The sequence below is a fragment of the Homo sapiens genome, chromosome 9 (assembly GCF_000001405.40).
Source record: "Homo sapiens chromosome 9, GRCh38.p14 Primary Assembly".
Classification (NCBI taxonomy): Eukaryota; Metazoa; Chordata; class Mammalia; order Primates; family Hominidae; genus Homo; species Homo sapiens.
Window position 1 is genome coordinate 120,482,439 of NC_000009.12, and position 16,870 is coordinate 120,499,308.

Below are 16,870 nucleotides of genomic sequence, written 5' to 3' on the forward strand. Positions count from 1 at the left end.
AACTGGGAAATCCCTCCATCAGAGTCCCAGGGGGAATGCCTATCCCCTGAGACCCAGTGCTGTCATTTACCACTATCCACTGGCACACTCCAGGGCACTTCACAGGATCTGCTCCGGCCAAACCTCATCAGCAAGCCCTTCTTTGACTGATAAAGATGCCCTCCTCCAGCCCCCAGAGCTGGCGTGTCAGCCACCTGTTTACAAGGCTGAGGGCTCCTGGCAAGCAGCAGTGTCCTGAGCCAGGCACAGTGTCTGGCACAAATCAAACGCTGCCACAAATACTTGCTAAACTGATGATTAAGTAGGTAAGAGGGGAACTCAGAGACCGATATGAATCTTAAGAGAAGAGATTCCTGGGGATATTTTGCATAATGGAAGTCAGACTGAGTCAAAGTCTTCCTAGAAGCAAATTGCTTACCCATGTTAAATAAATGAACTCTTTGAAGCCATTTGGGTCCCATTTCATCAATCACCTATTCCCCTGCGTTGAATCATGCCCCATTAGAATGAAGTCATTTGGCTCCCTCAGCAGAGCTGACAAACCAGTAGATCTCCTCGGCACACAGGCAGGCGGCCAGGCTGCCCAAAGGGGAGTCATGAGAAGCACCTGCTCAGCAACAGCAACCAACCCCCACTCTCCCCTCTCCACCCAGCCCCTCCAAACAAAAAGCAACCCAGACAGGAGGCCTCTCAGTGCAGAGAAGACTCATCACTGCCACAGATCTGCTGTGTGTCTGGCTCTGCGACGTGTTCTCCACAGCCCTTGGAGTGACCACCCCGCTCACCGCATTCCCCTGCCTCACCTGAGAACTGTCCCTAAAACACAGGGGTGAGTCCCAGGAAGACTCCTCTCCTTTGTGAGCCAGGCCCTCGGCCCACTTGCTAAACTAGTACAGTTCTCTCCCAGGAACTGAGAGATTTAAACCAAGACACCAGACAGCTGGAAGTCTCTGGGTCTGTGTCATGTCAACGACAGAGCCCTAGAGTCTGGGACTCAGATGAGGTCCATGGTGCTGCCCCAGCTTCACCCTCCCCAAAGTGTGGCTGTTCAAGTCTTGCCTGGCATTTGTGACAGCCTCAAGTCTGCTCCCAGTCAATATTCCCTTTCATGGTGGTTGTGCTCAAACTACCCAATGTGGGGTTCTATGGCTTGCAACCAAAAGAATCTTAACTAATCCACTTCCATTATTTCTAATCCTCTCAAAAGGCAGGCATGTAATTGCCCACTTCACAGATTAGGAAAGTGAGTTTCAGAGGCATTAAGTGAGTTGCCCAAGATCACAGAGCTAGTGAGTAGTAGGACTGGCATTCTGACACCAAAGCCGGGCATTTTCTACTTTACCATAGTTTCCTTAATGACTTGAAGGAAACACATGTAATGTGCAGACCACATCTAAAGAGACAGCAGACATGTAAGGAGAAAGCTTAATGGATCACTTCTTGGTAATCAAGGCAATTTAGAGGCCTGGTAGATAGATGGTGTCTATTTCAGTAGCTATGTCACAGCCCTGCAACAAAGACATTAATTTTAATACCCTGAAAATTCAGCAGCGATGTCCCAACCATGCCAATAACCAAGCCATGAATCTCCGGCTGTAGTTAGTTAAATATGGTCAGTGTGTTTCACTCTCTATTCTTCAATTCCCTAGTCATCTAGCATTGATTCTCAGGATCACACAATGATTAGAAGGAAAACAGACTGCCCAGAGTCTATGGAGACATGATCATAGCCTCAAGTTCTTTCTAGAAATGGGCAGAGGATAAATTCTAAACCAACACAAAATAGCCAAGGGCACAGCAGAATAAATTCACATTTTCTACAAAGAAAGAACTACGATCTGAAAAGCACACCTTTCTTGGGGCCGGGGGAGTCGGGGGTACGACTGTAAGGCTGCAACAGTTGGGATTCCTTAAAGTGACACCAGAAATTTACAATTCTTAAGTGATCACTTAAAATTCCTTTGTTGCTGTTGTTTTGTTTTTTTAAAGAGACTGGGTCTCAGCCAGGTGCAGTGGCTCATGCCTGTAATCCCAGCAATTTGGGAGGATGAGGCAGTTGGATCATTTGAGGTCAGAAGTTTGAGACCAGCCTGGCCAACGTGGTGAAACCCTGTCTCTACCAAAACTACAAAAAAATTAGCCAGGCATGGTGGCACATGCGTAGAATCCTAGATACTTGGGAGGCTGGGGTGGGAGAATCACTTGAACCCAGGAGGCGGAGGTTGCAGTGTGCCAAGGTCATGGCACTGCACTCCAGCCTGGGTAACAGAGCAAGACTCTGTCTCAAAAAATAAATAAATAAATAAAGAGACTGGGGCTCACTCTGTGACCCAGGCTGGAGTGCAGTGGCACAATCATAGTTCACTCCAGCCTCAAATTCCTGGGCTCAAGCAATCCTCTTGAGTAGCTGGGACTATAGGCGTGCACCACTGTGCCAACCTAATTTTAATATTTTTTTTTTTTTTGTAGATACTGGGGTCTCAGTATGTTGCTCAGACTGGTCTCCAACTCCTGGCCTCAAGCAATCCTCCTGTCTCAGCCTCCCACAATGCTAGGATTACAGGTGTGAGCTATGATGCCTGGCCAGTAAATCTCTATCTACAATTTGCAATTCATCTTGTAGAACACTATTAAAGCCTTTGCTAAAATACTTAGGTATCTGACACAGTTATTTAAATATCACCGGGATCTGAATATTACCAAAATGCCCAGCTAGTAACTTTACATTTGTGGTCATGTGAAGTACATCACCCAGCACAAAAAAACTAAAAACAAAATGATAAAACTGAAATTAGATTTTAAAATACCCAACCTGTCCAATAAATCTATAAACATTTTGTTCAACATTTAGATACTTTTTTTTTTTTTTTTTTTTTGAGAGGAGTCTTGCTCTGTTGCCAGGCTGGAGTGCAGTGGCACGATCTCAGCTCACTGCAACCTCCGCCTCCGGGGTTCAAGCAATTCTCCTGCCTCAGGCTCCTAAGTAGCTGGGATTACAGGCATGTGCCACCACACCCAGCTAATTTTTGTATTTTTAGTAGAGACGGGGTTTCACCATATTGGCCAGGGTGGTCTCGATCTCTTGACCTTGTGATCCACCTGCCTCGGCCTCCCAAAGTGCTGGGATTACAGGAGATACTTTTTACATGACTAAAATGTGATTCAAAATAGCATTTTAGTTTAACTAACTTAATATATTCAAAGTAATGAAGATATTTCCAACTAAAATAACCTGATGAGCTGCTATCTTGGTGTGAAAAAGACTATGCCTTATATTACAGGTTAATGTGAATCTTAGCCAACTAAAGTTGGTCAAAATCTAACTAAATGCTAGTTAGAATCACAAAATATTAGCCCTCTGAGATTTAGTTATAAGACTTGCCCCAGGTTACGTAAGTGAAATGACAGAGTCGACAGAGAGAAATCCAGGTCTCCAGATTGCTGGCCCAGCCCAAGGGCTCCATAAGTCCATGCTGACGCTCTCAAGAGAAACAGCAAAATGCAAATACACAAACAGTCAGAATTAAGAAACAGCTCCAACTGTTCAGCCAATGATACCCCCAGGACAAGCTCTGATACTGAGCAGATACACAGCACAGTGGCTAGCATTGGTTGCTAATATACTGAAATACTTCCACACCAGTTGGAAAATAAACCCTGGTCCATCCACTCCAACCACCCTAGCTGCCCTGGTCCCTCCCTAGGGACCTCCCCATGAGGTCCCTAGTAGTTTTTAAACTACAGGGTTGGTGCCTGGCACAGGAGCAGGCCTCCAGGTCCCCACTCCAGCTCTAGTGCCCGAGTCTTTTCTGAAGGCTGATGCCCATGTTGTACCAGTTGTTAATTATTTTGAGAATCACCCTTCACAAACCTGCAAGTCACAATCAGAGCCATTCATCAGAAAACTAATTTGCATAAGAGTTCTCTATCTTCCAAATGTATGAACTTAATTTAAGCCAGGTTTTTCTTTTAAAAAAAAAAAAAAAAAAAAACCTGGCCTACAGTTAATTCTTTTCCTTTCCCACATCTGGCTGCCTGGTTGCATTATTCATTCATTCACTCAACAAATATTTACACAGCCAGGCAACAGGCTGAACACTGGGATTCGGAACATGTGCCAGTTCCCTACCCCAGAAGTGCCTGCCCATGGTGCTGTACAGGAGCCCAGGTGAGAGGAAGCGGAAAGGTGGATCGTGTAACTCCAACAAACAGAGTAAGTGCCATGATAGAGGGGTGTGTAAAGTGCTGTGAACCAGAGGAAAACGGGGGACCACACTACTAAGCAGGATCAGGAAAGACTCCAGAGAGAAGGTGACACTAAGATGGCACCTGCAGAGATGTTCAGGAGTTAGCATGTAAACAAGGAGGGAAAAATCAGTCCAGGCAGATGGAACTACATACACAAAGGCACAGAGAGGTACAAACATGGTGTTTTCAGGAATCTATAAGAAATTTGCTATTGCTGGCGACGAAAGAAAATGAGATTGGAAACTTGATTTGGGGCCAGATAAGGAAGGGCCTGCTGTGCCATTTTCTGCGTGAATTTAAATAGGAACACTTACGAAACACTTGGGATTACATAGTTCTTAAGAGGTGAGCCCTGATAGAGCAAATGAGGCTTCTGGTTTAACAAGCTATGCTTTCTCAGTTTCGTGTGCAGTGCAAAGACTAATATTCATTGAAGGATATTAATCTGTAACGTGGTAGGCTAAGAACTCCTCCTCCTACCTGTTGTAGGCTCAGTTACCAACAAGAAGGCATTTGAGGATCTCTAGATCAAAGGAGTTATCAAATATGTTTCAAAAAAGTGTATGAATCCATTCGCATGTGAATGTCCAATTTCAGTCAAGCTTACCTTAGAGAAGATGGTTTTGCTGCCTGGTGGCTGTTGAGAAGAGCACTTTTCTGTTATTAAGCCTTCACTCCTGAGCTCAAGATCCTCTGCAGCCATTAAATAGCAGTTCTGCTGTATTACTTCCAAATCTTTTTCATTGAATTTCTAATGAAATAAAACAAATTCTAAGGAAATTGTCATCAAGAAAAAAAATATTAAGAAACTGTCCCAAACTCCTTAAGGAAAAATATTTTATTTTTTCATAATACTCCTATATCCCCTACATAATTTTCATCATTCCAAAATACTAGGCAATTACAAAACTGTCATGCAACTCCATTTCTATGCTATTACAACTTGCAGAATAGCTGAATGCCAGCAAAGCAGAGCCAAGGATGGTCGCAGTCGCTACAAACCGTCCTCGCTCACCACCACTGTGACTACCTTCCAGTGGGTGTGGAGGACAAAGCCAGGCTCTGACCCAACAGACCTGGTTCCAAACCTAGGTTCATCCTGCTCAGGGTGCGATCTGCTTCCAGTCCTGCAGGCTTATGGGGATGATTACAAGACTTGCACATCAAAACCCAACGAAGTCTTAGTCTCTCTTGAAATGTTACAAATTTGATAAAACTTGAACTGTCCATATCCAAAAGGAGATCTGACTTCCAGGAAAAAAAGCCAAGACTGCAAATACTGCTTTAGGGTCTGGTCACATGTGAAAGGCTCCTTCATGATCACACATGATATGATTCCACTGGCTGAACCCTTCAGAAGATCGAACATTCAACAACACAACAGGACCGGAGACCATATCTCTAGTCTTCTGCATGGAATCTATTCCTAACTATTTAAAATCCTAGTAACTCCTGAACTAGGATTCTGTCCACTCTTGTCAAATATTAAGGGTAAGAACCACATCTTATTCCTAAGCACCTAGCAGAATTAATTTATCCTTTCAAATTTTTATAAGAAATTAGGTGAACACAAACAAAAAAATTAAGGCAATTCTTTATAAAAACCCATTGAACTGTAATAGAAAGAACTAGGAATCAAATAACCAATACTGACTTTCTAGAATTGTCACAATACAGTTGTGCTTAAATTACACTATTCATTTTCATTTTTCTAAAGTCCAATTATAGATATACATAGTTTAACAGTCAAATAGTACTACAGGCTTAAATGGAAAATGGTGTCCTCTCCCTCTCCTCTCTTCTCACCTCTCAAATCCCACTCCCAGAGAAAAACAACTTGCAACTCTTTAGCTATTTCTTCTGCTATATACCTCCATGTTTCTATATTACATTCCTATTCTTACATGGCTTGGTTTCTTAAGTTTAGATTCTACCTACTGGCTCCTGCCATAGAAGTTTAAGGATTCAGCTCTTACATCCTCTGTCCCTCAACCCTTTTCCTAATAATATCCCAATTTCAGTTAAATCAATATTCTGCATTTACATTATAGCCACGCAGATACTGCTCATAACTTAGCCATATGGTGTTCCGTGATCACACATCAAAAAATTGACCATCTGCATTTTAGTTTCTTAGAGAAATCCCAACTGAAGTCCTCCTCAAGAGTTCAAATCTGGGCTTTCTACCTAAGCAGCTCAGCTCTCATCCCAGGACTTCCCTTCACCACATGCCATGTGAATTCCCTACTTTGTGGAACCCATGTCTCTCTCTTTCGGTTATTCTCTCCCATTTGGTGATTCCTTTATACATATGGAATCATCCTACGAGAGCTTCCAGCAAGAGTACATAGGAGGCAAATGACTGTAGGCACCAAATGTCTGAAAATGCCTTTATTCTGCCCTCACACTTGCTGACAGCTTGGCTGAGTACAGAACGCTGAATTGGAAATCACTTTTCCTCCAAATCTGAAAGCATTGCTCTTCCATCTTCTGGTTTCCAATGTTGCTGCTGAGAATTCCGATGTCATTCCAAGTGTGGGTTCTTTGTATGTGACCTGTATTCTCCTCTCTGTGGAAGCCTTTCAGGTCCTCTCTTTATCCCTCTGTTCTAAAATTTCAAAATGACACACCATGGGGTATGGGTCTTTTCTCATTCTTTGTGCTAGAAACATAGCAGGCCCTTTCAATGTAGAAATAGTTGTCCTTCCATTCTGGGGAATTTTCTCCTATTACTTTGAAAACTTCCTTTCCTCTGTTTTGCCTGTCTTTCTGGAACTCCTATTAGTCATATTTTGGACCTCTTGTATCAAGCCTCTAGTTTTCTTAATTTTCTCTCCCATTTTCTCATCTTTTTATTTGTTTAGTTCTATTTTCTGAAAGACTTACTCAACTTTATCTTCCAACTTTTCTTACTCTTCTTTTAAACTTTTTTATATTTGCAGTCCTACTTTCAAATTCCAATAGGTCTTCTTTTCCAAATATCTTTTTTGTCAGAGCCTTATCCAAAGGAGTTATAGCCCTGAAATGTTTGGATTTTTAAAAGCTGTCTTGTTTTCTCCTCCTTGCATGTTTCTATTTCCTCTATGTACCTCTGTTCTGTTTGGCCTTTGTCTTTGTCTTTCCTTTTTTTTTTTTTTTGAGAAGGAGTTTCACTCTTGTTGCCCAAGCTGGAGTGCAGTGGCACAATCTCGGCTCACCGCAACCTCTGCCTCCCGGGTTCAAGCGATTCTCCTGCCTCAGCCTCCCGAGTAGCTGGGATTACAGGCATGCACCACCACACCTGGCTAATTCTGTATTTTTAGTAGAGACGGAGTTTCTCCATGTTGGTCAGGCTGGTCTCAAACTCCCGACCTCGGGTTATCCGCCCACCTCAGCCTCCCAAAGTGCTGGAATTTCAGGCGTGAGCCACCACGCCAGGCCATCTTTCCTCCTAAATTCTTTTCTCCTATTTGATAAACTCAGGCCATCCACCTACTTTTAGGGGTTAGAAGTGCTCAGCAGCTCTGAGAGTGTGGAAAGGACCTGTCAAAGGTGGCCTCACAGTGAGGTGCGCAGGTAGAGGCCCAGGTATTTTGCTGGAGGACCCCCAATTGTCAGCATTTTTCAGTTGTTTCTCCTCTCTGAGGCATCTCACTGCTGGGCATGCACACTTCCACTCCCTCCCTGTTTTCACTTAAGTGGTCACTCCTGCTTTCAGTTACATCTGGTGACCCCATGGCCAGAGATTCTCTGGTTTAAGGTCTCCAGAGATCTCCTGCTGGTGAGGAGAGTGTCACCTCTAACTGCTTAGAATTACAGCCAGTCTCCCATTTTTAAAGTTACCAGGTATAGCCAATGCATGCTATGCCTTTCTGGGGTTCTGCAGCATAAACCAGCTTGCTTCTTGTTGGCTTTTTGTCCCAAAGGCATGTAGCTGTGTGGAGAAAGCTGAATCCTATGCCCTTAACACTTGCCCATCCACTTAGCCAAATTTTTTTTTCTTTGTTTTTTTCTTTTTACCTCTTTCGTCTACAAGCCACACTTATCCAAAATTCTGTTGACAACTCACACTTGCTATTATACCTGCTTCTATTCTCCTAGTTAGTCCCTGTGGGTTTATACCTTTTTATTCTTTCATTGTTATTTTAATGAGGTTTCTGTAGGAAGCAGAGTTAAATGCCTATGTTTACTCCATCATGGTTATCTGTAAGTCTGAGGTGAATTTCAAAAACTCACGACATGATCAAACAAGAAGGGTACTCCTAAAGAAAAAGGAACAGTTAGAGAAAAAGTACAGGGGAATGAAAGAGCATGGTATAAATAAGTAACAGGAAGTATTTGCAGTAGAAGAACCTCAGTGAAGTGGCCTGAGCACTAGGGCAAAACAAGCCAGAGTGTGAATCCAGGCTCTGCTATTTAGTCGTCATATGACCCAGGATATGTTTCTTCCCTTCTCTGAGTTTCTGTTTCACCACACTTACCTCCCTGGTGGCTGAAGCCCAAATGACATAATTAAAGCTCTAAAGTATTCTGAAACATAGCAATGATTACTGTAATCATAAATATTTCTGCAAAAGAATTATTTTTTAAAAAAATCAACCCATGCCAAATTAAAAAATTTAAATACAAAAGTTACAGTACCTGAAGCAACACGTCCTTCTGATTGGTACTTTCTGTTAGATGTTTGATCACTTGCTCTTGATTGTGCAATTTTTTATTGCTTTCACTCAGAAGACTCTTGTAACGATTTTCCATTGCTTTCTCTCTTTCATTCACTTCATTGCGTAATTTTTCAACTTCATTTCTAAGATCCTACCAGAAGAAAATGAAAAAATGGAATTTACTTGACAAAAATTTCAATCTCTTATGTGTTTGACTTGCTAAATTACTGCTACAAGAGAGCAAGATAATAGATGTATTTAAGGGAGTATACAAGTGTATATTTAAATCCTTCTCACTTAAAATCTTACAAAAACCACTATAAGAATAATCTGAAATTTGGCAAAAGATTTATGAACAGATATTTATCACAACATTATTTAAAATGCTGGAAAACCAGAAAGAAACTAGACAGTCAACAACAGAGAAATAATTATAAAGAGTACGGTATTTAAAAAACACACACCCACAATTATGAGTCAAAACAAACCAGAGTATCAAACTGTACAGATAATAAGATGCTCATTATTTTCTAAATGTTAATACAAATGTCATAAGGCTGAGGTAACACATCAAAACAACAACAGTATATCTAAGTAGAGGAATTGTGGGTAATTTTCCATTTTTTTTACTTATTTTTCTAAGTTTCCACAATTTCTAAATAATCCTGTATTATCTTCATAATCAGGAAAAAAACTGTCTTAATACCATTTACAAAGAATTTATAATAACATAAAAAAAGTTCATGTTATTCCCATGTTACAGAAAAAGGAAAAAAAAACCGTATACAGAATGATTGTGACTACCTTTAAATATGTACTATTTGCAATACTGAAGCACTATTCATAATAGCAAAAGGCTGTGAACAATCCAAATGTCCACCAACAGAGGAATAAACTATGGTACATTCTCACAATGGAGCACTCTTAAGCTATAAAGGAAAAGGAATGAGGACTCTTTCTCTCTATAAATATACTGCCCTAAAGTAATCTTCAGAATATTTTGTTAAGTGTGTGTGGCAGCAGCAGAGACCCAAGAGAAATAAGTATGGATAGCATACTGCCATTTATTTAACCATAAAACAAATTAAATGACTGCCTATAAGGTATAAGAGAGAACAAGGTAGAAGGGACAAAGATAGAAACTAAAACTCATTTTACAGATGTGACGTTGCAATCATTTAAACGTTTATACAATTATCTTAAAAATAAAATAAAAATCCCATAAAACTGAAAAAAGAGCAAGCAAACAAATGAATCTAACTTTGTAACCAGTTAACTGGTTAACCAAACAGACAGAAATTGTTCCAATAACTTTGAAGCAGAATAATTTGTACATCCCTAGTGGGATATTTCTCTAAGTACAAAAGAGGTTGTAAAAAAATCTTAAACTGTTTTTAGTAATCATGTTATAAGTAATGATATTGGTAATGTTATTCTGAAACTGTGTGAGTATATATAACATATATATTTATTAAACAATTATTGTCATAAAACCCAAAACTTTAAGTAGAAAAGAAATACAAACATAGAAGAAGTTAAAACTTGTCACTCTAAATTTGAATTTGAAATATCAATATGAACTTCTATTTTCTGTCGTTTCCTTTCTTTCACTAAAAAAGCCTAGAATTGGTGTCCTCCCTGGTATCCAGACTATAGTCTCTAAACGCCTTTTCCTATAAAAAAGATCAGGGTTCTTCAAAGCAGTGGTTCTAAAGTATAGTCCCTAGAACAGCATAATCAGTATCACCTGCATATATGCAAATATATCACTGGTTCTGAGGATGGAAAGGGGACTCAGACCAAGAAATCAGGTAGGCTCTAGGAGCTGGAAAAGGCAAGGAACTGACTCTCCTCTAGAGCCTTCAGGAGGAATGCAGCCCTGCCGACACCTTGATTTTAGTCCAGTGGGACCCATTTGAGACTTCTGACTTCTAGAATTGCAAGATAATAGATTTGTATTGTTAAGCCACCAAGTTTGTGGTAATTTGTTGCAGCAGCAATAGAAGCTAATAATACAGCCACCATTGGAGGATTCTAGGGAACTTGTTTTCACTTTCCTGTATGAGCTGCACCTCAGGGTAACTAAATAGGTGATGAAAAACCAAGTTTCTCTTTATAGACGTATTCAGCTATAAAAGAAGGAATAATGAAATCAAATTATCACCATTTGCAAATGATCAATAGCTAGTAACATCACAAAAAGAGGGACTATCAAATATTTGAAAGTACAAATGACCATTTATGATGTAACATTGCCAAAAAATTTAACCTGAATTTGACCATGCATCTTATCTAAACTACCACTTTAGATGGTAGTTAGACTGTTTACCAGAAACAGTCAACAGAGAAATAAGTCAAATGACATTACAGAAACAGTCAGCAAAATCCATAATGTGAAAAACTCTAAAGAACAAACAACCCAACATATTCAACAAACAAATTACATGGGGTAAAAAAAGGAGGGAGAACCTGCTTACTTATTAAACAATAAGTTTAAAAGTTAGCCTGTCATCTCAGCACTTTGGGAGACCGAGGCAGGCAGATCGCTTGAGGTCAGGAGTTTGAGACCAGCTTGGCCAACATGGCGAAACTCTGTCTCCATGAAAAATACAAAAATGAGCAGGGCATGGTGGCACATGCCAATAATCCCAGCTACTAAGGAGGCTGAGGCAGGAGAATCACTTGAATCCGAGAGGCAGAGGTTGCAGTGAGCCAAGATGGCACCACTGCACTCCAGCCTGGGCAGTACAGCAAGACTCAGTTTAAAAAAAAAAAAAAAAAAAGTAAAGGAAGGGGAGAATGAACTCTGCTATCAGTCTGAATTCATGATCACACACACACACAGAGAATTGGAAAGACATAGAAATATAAATATACATGTTTGTATGCATGTGTCAATACACATATTTCAGCTCTGTACACTGACAAATCCTAGAGGCAATAACACTCCAGTAGTAATGAGGATACCTATCATTCACATCTTGGTTTCTAAATATCATTTTCCAATAAAAGAAACCAGTGTTTCTTGGGCAAATACTTGATTCCAGACCTGGAGCAGGGAAAACATAATACGAAATGAGCCTAGGAGATCTTGTGCTCCTAGAAAGCAAGGAATTGCTCAAAAAATGAGGAGTCATGTTGAAAAGGCACAGGAATCAATTTGAAGGAGCTCCCAATGGCCAAGTCTGGGTCAATCTGAACAATAAAATAAATAATGATAGTAATGGCTTATAACTTATAGAGTAAAACAGTATCTGCAAGTCCATACTGATAGAAACAAATAACTAATAAACAAATGCAGGAGGAGGAAGAGGACAGCTCTTCCTCATGGTAGACATAATACAACTAATAAGAATAGAAGGAAAGATAGAAAAAGAAAATAACAACTAGGTAAACACCACAGTAATAACTGTTGCAGGTAAGAATCATCAGGCGGCGCCGGAGGCCCCAGAAGGGTCGAAGGCGCCGCGGGCTGGGGTCGGTGGCTTAGGGAGCCCGTCTGGCCATGGTGGCCGCGGCTGGTGGTTGGCGCGGCTGCGCTGCGGCCCGGGGCAGTGCGGAGCCAGGACAGTCGCGGCGCTGACGCCCGCGGGCCCCAGCTGCAGATATGAAGCGGAGCCGCTGCCGCGACCGACCGCAGCCGCCGCCGCCCGACCGCCGGGAGGATGGAGTTCAGCGGGCAGCGGAGCTGTCTCAGTCTTTGCCGCCGCGCCGGCGAGCGCCGCCCGGGAGGCAGCGGCTGGAGGAGCGGACGGGCCCCGCGGGGCCCGAGGGCAAGGAGCAGCCGCCTGCCTTGGCCTCCCAAAGTGCCGAGATTGCAGCCTCTGCCCGGCTGCCACCCCGTCTGGGAAGTGAGGAGTGTCTCTGCCTGGCCGCCCATCGTCTGGGATGTGAGGAGCCCCTCTGCCTGGCTGCCCAGTCTGGAAAGTGAGGAGCGTCTCCGCCCGGCCGCCATCCCATCTAGGAAGTGAGGAGCGCCTCTTCCCAGCCGCCATCACATCTAGGAAGTGAGGAGCGTCTCTGCCCGGCCGCCCATCGTCTGAGATGTGGGGAGCGCCTCTGCCCCGCCGCCCCATCTGGGATGTGAGGAGCGCCTCTGCCCGGCCGAGACCCCGTCTGGGAGGTGAGGAGCGTCTCTGCCCGGCCGCCCCGTCTGAGAAGTGAGGAGACCCTCTGCCTGGCAACCACCCCGTCTGAGAAGTGAGGAGCCCCTCCGCCCGGCAGCTGCCCCATCTGAGAAGTGAGGAGCCTCTCCGCCCGGCAGCCACCCCATCTGGGAAGTGAGGAGCGTCTCCGCCCGGCAGCCACCCCGTCCGGGAGGGAGGTGGGGGGGGGTCAGCCCCCCGCCCGGCCAGCCGCCCCATCCGGGAGGGAGGTGGGGGGTCAGCCCCCCCGCCCGGCCAGCCGTGCCATCCGGGAGGGAGGTGGGGGGGTCAGCCCCCCGCCTGGCCAGCCGTGCCATCCGGGAGGGAGGTGGGGGGGTCAGCCCCCCGCCCGGCCAGCCGCCCCGTCCGGGAGGTGAGGGGCGCCTCTGCCCGGCCGCCCCTACTGGGAAGTGAGGAGCCCCTCAGCCCGGCCAGCCACCCCGTCCGGGAGGGAGATGGGGGGGTCAGCCCCCCCACCCGGCCAGCCGCCCCGTCCGGTAGGGAGGTAGGGGGGTCAGCCCCCCGCCTGGCCAGCCGCCCCGTCCGGGAGGGAGGTGGGGGGGTCAGCCCTCCGCCCGGCCAGCCGCCCCGTCTGGGAGGTGAGGGGCGCCTCTGCCCAGCCGCCCCTACTGGGAAGTGAGGAGCCCCTCTGCCCGGCCAGCCGCCCCGTCCGGGAGGGAGGTGGGGGGGTCAGCCCCCCGCCCGGCCAGCCGCCCTGTCCGGGAGGGAGGTGGGGGGGTCAGCCCTCCGCCCGGCCAGCCGCCCCGTCTGGGAGGTGAGGGGCGCCTCTGCCCGGCCGCCCCTACTGGGAAGTGAGGAGCCCCTCTGCCCGGCCAGCCGCCCCGTCCGGGAGGGAGGTGGGGGGGTCAGCCCCCCGCCCGGCCAGCCGCCCCGTCCGGGAGGGAGGTGGGGGGGGGGTCAGCCCCCCCGCCCAGCCAGCCGCCCTGTCCGGGAGGTGAGGGGCGCCTCTGCCCGGCCGCCCCTACTGGGAAGTGAGGAGCCCCTCTGCCCGGCCAGCCGCCCCGTCCGGGAGGGAGGTGGGGGGGTCGGCCCCCCGCCCGGCCAGCCGCCCCGTCCGGGAGGGAGGTGGGGGGGTCGGCCCCCCGTCCGGCCAGCCGCCCCGTCCGGGAGGTGAGGGGCGCCTCTGCCCGGCCGCCCCTACTGGGAAGTGAGGAGCCCCTCTGCCCGGCCAGCCGCCCCGTCCGGGAGGGAGGTGGGGGGGTCAGCCCCCTGCCCGGCCAGCCGCCCCGTTCGGGAGGGAGGTTGGGGGGTCAGCCCCCCGCCCGGCCAGCCGCCCCGTCCAGGAGGGAGGTGGGGGGGGTCAGCCCCCCTGCCCGGCCAGCCGCCCCGTCCGGGAGGTGAGGGGCGCCTCTGCCCGGCCGCCCCTACTGGGAGGTGGGGAGCCCCTCTGCCCGGCCACCACCCTGTCTGGGAGGTGTGCCCAACAGCTCATTGAGAACGGGCCAGGATGACAATGGCGGCTTTGTGGAATGGAAAGGCGGGAAAGGTGGGGAAAAGATTGAGAAATCGGATGGTTGCCGTGTCTGTGTAGAAAGAAGTAGACATGGGAGACTTTTCATTTTGTTCTGCACTAAGAAAAATTCCTCTGCCTTGGGATCCTGTTGATCTGTGACCTTACCCCCAACCCTGTGCTCTCTGAAACATGTGCTGTGTCCACTCAGGGTTGAATGGATTAAGGGCGGTGCAAGATGTGCTTTGTTAAACAGATGCTTGAAGGCAGCATGCTCGTTAAGAGTCACCACCACTCCCTAATCTCAAGTAATCAGGGACACAAACACTGTGGAAGGCCGCAGGGTCCTCTGCCTAGGAAAACCAGAGACCTTTGTTCACTTGTTTATCTGCTGACCTTCCCTCCACTATTGTCCCATGACCCTGCCAAATCCCCCTCTGTGAGAAACACCCAAGAATTATCAATAAAAAAATAAATTTAAAAAAAAAAAAAAAAAAAAAAAAAAAAAAAAAGAATCATCAATGGATGCTAGAATTCTTCAAAGTATGACGAGAAGCAGGATATTCATATAGTCTCAAAAGATCTCCCCACAAAATTAATTATAAAGGGAATAAAATAGTGACTTTATAGTGAAGAAACCCAGAAGATTCCACTTTAACCAAGTGACTAGCACTAACCTCATCAATAATGACAGACTGACATTACGCACCTCCAAATACAATACACTAAGAAGAGCACATCACTTCCATGCTATTCTTGCCAAAAACACATAACCTCAATCTAATCATGAGAGTGTTGGGAGAAAAGCTGAGTGTTGGGAGAAGCTGAGGCAGGGCTTGATATCTGACATAATGTAAAAGAGTCTTGGAACATGTCCGGGGTTCAGGGTCTAAAACCCCTGTGGCCTTTGGAACACCAAGCTCTGTGCTAAAGGGTGGAAGGCTACCCTGATGCACCATAATCTAAGCCCAGGGCATAAAACCCCTCGTGGCTTGGATAGAATCCAGGGCTCAAGGCATAAAATCCCTTGTAGCTCTAGGATGTGTCTAGTCTTGCTGGCTCCTTGCTCTCCCAGGATGGATTGTATCTTGAGTTAAAAGAACCTGCTCTCCGTTATCTCAAGTAGCAGAACATGTTCCATATGCCGCAAAGGAAATGCTAAACTGTCACAGCTGTGGATCACGTGCTTGCCCTTTCCCATATTCTCACCACCTGTTTCTTTGTTTGATCACCAATAAATAGTCTGGGCTTCCAGAGCTCCAGGCCTTCCCAGCCTCCATACTTAGCGATGGCCCCCTAGTGCCACTTTCTCTCTCAAACTGTCTTTTCTCATTCCTTTGACTCCGACGGACTTCATTGCCCCCACGACCTGGTGTTGGGTCTGATCACCCCAACATAAGAGAAACACCAGACAAGCCCAAATTTAAGAACATTTCACAAAATAACTGACCAGTCCTCTTCAAACCAGTCAAGGTCATAAAAGACAAAAGCTGAGCAACTGTTCCAGATTAGCCAAGACTAAGCAGACATGACAATTCAATGTGGATCCTTCATGAGATCCTGAACCCGAAAAGGGTCACTCATGGGAAAACTGGCAGAATTCAAATAGAGTCTGTAGATTAGTTCATAATGTTGCATCAATGTTAATTTCCTGATACTGGTAAGTATGCCACAGTAATGCAAAATGTTAACACTAGGGGATATATGGGAACTCGCTATATTGTTTTTGCACCTTTCCTGTATGTTTAAAATTATTTCAAAATAAAAAGGCTTTAAATATATATATATATATATATCAACGGGTGTGGTGACTCACGCCTGTAATACCAACACTTTGGAAGCCCAAGGCAGGAGGATCACTTGAGCCCAGGAATTTGACACCAGCCTGGGCAACATGGCAACACCCCATCTCTAAAATAAATAAATAAATAAGTAAATAAAATGCAATGTATATACCTTGTTTGGATCATGATTTATCTTTTTTTAGAGACAAGGTCTTACTAAGTTGTCCAAGTTTATCTCAAATTCCTGGGCTTAAGCAATCCTCCCATCTCAGTCTCCCAAAGTGCTGGGATTACAGGCATGAGCCACCACTCCCATCCTTGGATCATGATTTAAACAAATTATTTCAAACAATTGTTTTTAATGAGACAATCAGGGAAATCTAAACATTTATTGGTTATTTGGTAATTTTAAGAGATTACTACCCTTTTTAATGTGAAAATGGTACTTTTTAAAGCATACTGAAATACTGATAAAGTAGTATGTCTGGGAATTGCTTAAAATAATTCAGTGTTGAAAAGGAGGGAGTGAGGGGGAGGGCAGAGATGACACAAGATTAGCTCTCAGTTTGTGATGGCTAATGC

The 16,870-nt window shown here is 45.3% G+C and overlaps 1 protein-coding gene across 18 annotated transcripts in view, besides 2 other annotated features; it reads right to left on the minus strand.

The window, feature by feature from the left end:
• Window positions 1–16,870, minus strand: part of CDK5RAP2 (CDK5 regulatory subunit associated protein 2) — a 191,293-nt gene that overhangs the window by 93,564 nt on the left and 80,859 nt on the right. For all 18 annotated transcript variants that reach the window (NR_073558.2, NR_073556.2, NR_073554.2 and 15 more), the window contains 2 exons: window positions 8,869–9,039; window positions 4,856–4,999 (listed from right to left, as the gene is read on the minus strand). Coding sequence is in view for 13 of the 18 variants with exons in the window: in NM_001272039.2 (NP_001258968.1) it covers window positions 4,856–4,999; window positions 8,869–9,039 (315 nt within the window). In the remaining 5 variants the exon portion in view is untranslated. The remainder of the gene's footprint in view (window positions 1–4,855; window positions 5,000–8,868; window positions 9,040–16,870) is intronic.
• Window positions 7,139–7,640: an enhancer, noted in NCBI's record as "H3K27ac hESC enhancer chr9:123251855-123252356 (GRCh37/hg19 assembly coordinates)". NCBI's record gives its function as "activates a minimal SCP1, AML or CMV promoter by ChIP-STARR-seq in primed H9 embryonic stem cells {active_cell/tissue: H9 hESC(primed)}" and the evidence as "EXISTENCE:reporter gene assay evidence [ECO:0000049][PMID:30033119]".
• Window positions 7,641–8,140: an enhancer, noted in NCBI's record as "H3K27ac hESC enhancer chr9:123252357-123252856 (GRCh37/hg19 assembly coordinates)". NCBI's record gives its function as "activates a minimal SCP1, AML or CMV promoter by ChIP-STARR-seq in primed H9 embryonic stem cells {active_cell/tissue: H9 hESC(primed)}" and the evidence as "EXISTENCE:reporter gene assay evidence [ECO:0000049][PMID:30033119]".